Source organism: Homo sapiens, chromosome 5 (assembly GCF_000001405.40).
Source record: "Homo sapiens chromosome 5, GRCh38.p14 Primary Assembly".
Lineage (NCBI taxonomy): Eukaryota > Metazoa > Chordata > Mammalia > Primates > Hominidae > Homo > Homo sapiens.
This window is the reverse complement of record NC_000005.10, coordinates 72,917,906-72,923,905: the sequence shown is the minus strand read 5'-3', so window position 1 is coordinate 72,923,905 and position 6,000 is coordinate 72,917,906.

Sequence of the window (6,000 nt, the reverse complement as noted above, 5' to 3'; positions counted from 1 at the left end):
AGTGAACTGGAAGATTAGATATCTGAAGACAGTGAGAAAGAGATAAAAATATTAAAAAGTGGCCAGGCCCGGTGGCTCATGCCTCTAATCCCAGCACTTTGGGAGGCCGAGGTGGGTGGATCACTGGAGGTCAGGAGTTCAAGACTAGCCTGGCCAACGTGGCGAAACCCTATCTCTACTAAAAATACAAAAAAATTAGCAGGGTGTGGTGGTAGGCGCCTGTAATCCCAGCCACTCGGGAGGCTGAGACAGGAGAATCGCTTGAACCCAGGAGGTGAAGGTTGCACTGAGCCAAGATCGCACCACTGCACTCCAGCCTGGGTGACAGAGCAAGACTCTATCTATCTATCTATCTATCTATCTATCTATCTATCTATCTATCTATCTATGTATCTAAAAGTTATTAAAAGACAACAGAGTGAGGTCTAACAAACATTTTATGATATTCCACAAGTAGACAAGAAAATATTCAATGTTTTAGAAGTGAACTGGTAAAAGTTATTAATAGGTATTAATCTGCATACCTAGCAAGACCAATGTCTCCCAAGCAGGATAAATTAGAAATATTTCCACAAACAGGATAAATTAGAAGGATTTCCACACTATTTTAAGATCTTAGAAACAAAGAGAAAAGCAGATGACCTATCAAAAAAATGAAAAAAAAAATGGTAATTCTCTGGGCATGGTGGCTCACACCTATAATCCCAGCACTTTGGGAGGCCGAGGCAGGCAGATCACCTGAGGTCAGGAGTTCGAGACCAGCCTGACCAACATGGAGAAATCCCGTCTCTACTAAAAATACAAAAAACTTAGCCGGGCGTGGTGGCACATGCCTGTAATCCCAGCTACTCAGGAGGCTGAGGCAAGAGAATCGCTTGAACCCGGGAGGCGGAGGTTGCGGTAAGCCAAGATCGTGCCATTGCACTCTAGCCTGGGCAACAAGAGTGAAACTCAGTCTCAAAAATAAAATAAAATAAAATAAAATAAAATAAAATAAAATAAAATAAGGTAATTAGACTGAGGACTTACTTGTCAACAACAACAATTTAAGGCTCAAGACAGTGGAATGATATCTTCAATGTGCTAAAAGAAAAAAAATATCAACCTAGAATTATCTGCCCAGTGAAAAGATCTTTCAAGAAAGAAAGCAGAATTAAAAAAAAAATTAGGCAAGCAAAAATAGAATTTACTACAAATGGTAATATGATTAGGCTGTGTCCCCACTGAAATCTCATCTTGAACTGTAGTTTCCATAATCCTCATGTGTCGTGGGAGGGACCCAGTGTGAGGTAATTTAATCATGGGGGTGGTTATTCTTATGCTGTTCTTGTGATAGTTGTCATGAGATCTGATGGTTTTATAAGGTTCTTTTCCCCCTTTTGCTTGGCACTTCTCCTTCCAAATTGCAAAATCAACAAAAAAATTTTTTTTAATTGGGACATTATTATTCAATATTAAATACAAAACTACAGGAATTTAACTTTCAGCCGCAAAACAAATTTGCTGTGGACAGAAAACGGATTAATTGAACAGTAAATGTATTTATTAATACCACACATCCCACCATTTATGTGCAAACTTCTGGTAGATAGAAAAATTTGAAATAGTCGTCTATTTTTTTTTGGCCAGATTTGCAAGTAAGATTAAATTGGTGGCTTTGGAAGATTAGAAAAAGTAACAACGCCAAATAAAACTTTCTTCTGATAATATGAAGATTAACTGGAATGGCAATTCCTATCAGAAAGTCACAGAAGATAGCTTAGTACTGATCTCTGGTGCAGCAGAAACCCTGAAAAATAGATATTAAATAACTCCATTTGGCTGGTTGCCAACAAACACTTGAGGAGCTCCTGTCTTTATTAATCATCTTTAATTTGGGATTATGACAATTCATTCCTTTGGCTGATGAAACTATAAGACTTAACCACATTAGATAATGGGTTAAGGACTAGTGGGCCCCTTGTTCCTTCATTAACCCTGAGTGACTGAATGTCTCTCTTGTTTCTTTCCCACTCCCGATGTGTGAGCCCAATCAGAGTGGGGAAATGCTCCGCACACCAACAGTGTGCAGTCTTGACTACCATCATCAGGACTCTATGTTGTGGCATAGCAAACCTCACAATCAGACAGAAACAAGCAACCATAAACAGATATATCAGGCCTTTGGACAATAATGACCTGTATCAGTCTGATACTTGAGCTCTGTGTTGGTAACAACTTACCTAAAAACGGGTGGCAGTGACAGTAGAGTATTTTTGTTAAAGCATGGGCTCTTGAGTCACACTGATCAATTATTTGGGTTCAAATCCTGGTTTCACTACATATGACTTATTTGCTTCTCTGTGAGCCAGGAATAATAGAACTTACCTCAGAGGCTGTCAAGATTAAATGAGTTAATATACATAAAACAATTAGACATGTCCTCATTCATTCAACAAATATTTACTGAGCATTTACTCTGTTTCAGGAATTGTTCAGGGCACTGGAGATACTTAAGCAAACAAAATACACAAAGCCTCTGACATCTTGTGAAGTGTACATGCTATTTTGTTATTGTTGTTAAAAGGGAACTTCAATTTCCCAAGAACTCTCTGGGTCCTTGCTAACTCAAAGTGAGTGAGGTCCATAAACAAACAATGAGGCATCACCTGGGAGCCTGTGAGAAACGCACAATCTCAGGACCAATCCAGACTTAATGAATCAAGAGATGCATTTTAACAAGATTCTCAGGAGACACACATGTACATTAACGTTTGAAATGTCCTGTCTATATCATAAACACTGTACTTGGACTTAAGGAAATATCTTGAAGGTTTCCTGCATTCCAAGGTGAGAATGGCATTGAAATTTTAAAACTGCTCTAAAAAATGTTTTCAAGATTATTTTCATGTAAAAATGCATGTTGAAGTAAGTGACCTTAAGGGGTGGAAATATGCTTATTATATGTATATGCCTTACATTCCTACAAAATACTGTTCTGATACTAACATTCCAGGGTTAATCTAGGTAAACGGCTCCCTCTAATGGAAATATTTTGATTTATACATCACTGGGTATAGCTTCAGCTTAGAGTCCTAAGAGAATCTCAAGAAAAATAAAACTCATTCTAAGAATCTTAAGGAAAATGTGCATGCCTACAAAGGACAAATAAACGATGAGGTTTAACAAAAACAGAAATGCTTGTAAAATCCTAGCATACATGGGAAAGATTTAGTAACCTTCAATTCCTTTCTTTTCACATATAAAGAGTGGGCCTTCCAACAAGTGCTAACTTTTAAACTGTAAGGAAGTGTTAAGAAGAGAGCATCTCAGATATACTTTCCTAGTTGGGAATATGTGCCTTCAAAGTGAAAAAGTGAAAGTACTTAAGGAATTTTGTCAGTAAAGATGACAAAATTTCAATGGTAAGAACGTCAATTACTTTTGCATCAATCTAATGTATTATCTGTCCTTGTAGAAAATATTGAATACTTGAGTTTAACAACAAAAGCTCTTATACTCTTTAGTTCCCAAGAATACTGGATTAGAAATGATCTTGAGTTAACACATCATATAATAAGTGTTGTTATAAATTTGCCTTTTTAGGATGGGCATGGTGGCTCATGCCTGTAATCCCAGCACTTTGGGAGACCGAGGCGGGTCAATCACCTGAGGTCAGGAGTTCGAGACTAGCCTGGCCAACGTGGTGAAACACTGTCTCTACTATTAAAAAAAAAAAATTAGCTGGGCATGGTGGCGGGCACCTGTAATTCCAGCTACTCAGGAGGCTGAGGCAGGAGAATCGCTTGAACCGAGGAGGCGGAGGTTGCAGTGAGCCAAGATTGTGCCACTGCACTCCAGCCTGGGCGACAAGAGCAAAACTCCATCTCAAAAAACAAAAACACACACAAAAAACAAAAAACTGCCTTTTTTCCCAGTCCTAGTTCTATTGTAAAAGGCAAACTTGCTAAAAAAAAATAAAATAAAATAAAAATAAAGATATGCTGCCATTGCATAGTAAGCAAATAGGTCTTCTCTGGTGCAACGAAGTTATGTGTGAAATGAGTATGTACCATTTAAAGAATATCCATGTGCCCACCACCCAGGTACACAGATGTTCATGATTGTATTCTCAGCTCTGCTTCAAAGATGTAACCATCTTAATTTTGTATTATACATGTATACATGCATCACTATGTATTTTTTGTTTTTAAACTTCGATATAAATGGCTTCTCTTTAGTTACAGAATTGAGACTGGCTTTTTTGGCCAAGCTCTATTTTAAAAATTTGCCCATTCTTTCGGGCATTTGGGTTATTCCTTTTTTTTTGCTATTACAATGCTGATATACATTGTTTCCTGGCACATATGTCAAGTTATTCTAAGGCATATATACACTGTACATACACCTTGGGGGTAGAACATAGGTCTAGGGGTAGGCATAGGTTTTAGCCTACGCAAGTGTTCAACTTTACTGGGTAATGGCAAATTGGTTTCCAAAGTAGTTGGACTAAATCATCACTGTAAATTCCTATTCCTCCATCATTCATCCTAACAATTGATAGAGACTGAGTTTTCAATTTTTGCCAATTCAGTGAATGTGAAGATATTTAGCACCTTTCCATTTGTTTATGGGCTATCATGCAGGTTACTTAGGGGATGATTTATAGGTCAAACTATACACACACACACACACACATAAATGTATTTTAAATATATTAGTAATTTGTAAGTTCCCTTCATGTTGTACTAATTTACTCCCACTAGCGATGTGTGAATGTCTGTTTTTGTATTCCCTAGATAAGAGTATGTCCTCAAACCTCTTTCACCTTTAATGTGTGTGTGACCTTTTAAATTTCAGTTGATTGGAGTGACTATCTTTAAATCTTAAATTCAAACTAATGAACTATACATACCCATTGCCTACTTTTCTATTGGGCCATCCTGACTTGTAGTGCTTTATAGATTAGAACATTACCATTTTCTGTGAAAGGAGTCTGTCAAGTTTTTCCCAAGCTTTACTGTCATGCAGACTTTTGTTGCTGTTGTTTTTGAGACAGGGTATCATTCTGCTGCCCAGTCTGGAGTGCAGTGGCATGATCATAGCTCAGTGCAATCTTCAACTCCTAGGCTCAAGTGATCCTCGCGAACCAGCCTCCCAAAAGTAGCTAGGACCCCAAGTGTGCGATACTATGCTCGGCTAATTTTATTTTTTGTAGAGATGGGCATCTCCCTAAGTTGCCCAGGCTGGTCTTGAACTCCTGGGCTTAAGCAGTCCTCCCAACTTGTCCAACCAAAGTGCCACAACGCCCAGGTAATTTTTGTACTTTTTGTAGAGATTGGGTTTCACCATGTTGCTCAGGCTAGTCTCGAACTCCTGAGCTCAAGATCCACCTGCCTTGGCCTCCCAAGGTGCTGAGATTATAGGCATGAGCCACCACACCTGGCCTTTTAAAAATTATACTTTGAAGTGCCATAAAATAGTTTCCAAATATACTAGTGTATTTAGATGTTTAGATCTAAACTTAGTTCTTCTAAGCTGCCTATTCATGCATCAGTTTTAATTCCTGAAGCCACAATTTAAAAGAATGTCAAACTGGCATTGTCCCACACTAATTATTGTTTTAACAATTTTTCTGCCTTATCTTACTTTTTCATATGAACTCTAAAATAATCTCATCTAATTACAAAAACTTGTTGCTCATCTTTTTTTGGGGATGGTGTTTTATTTTGAATGTAGACACTACAAGCTGGTAATATTCAGGGTTGTAATCTGGCCACTTTGGCCTGTTTATTCACTCTTCATAAGCTTCCAAATTTTTTGAACAACTCAGTTTTAAAGAAACAAAGCCACTGAACTTGGCCTTGAGGAAAACAGAAGCCCAAGCTTTGTAGAACCCTAGAAGAGAGGAAGGAGATGGCCCTCATTCTACGTCTCCCATAGCCATACAGAAATCTGCCAAAATAATGACCTTCATGCTATAAATGTAATTCTCACTGCAGACAATATACATCACAATAC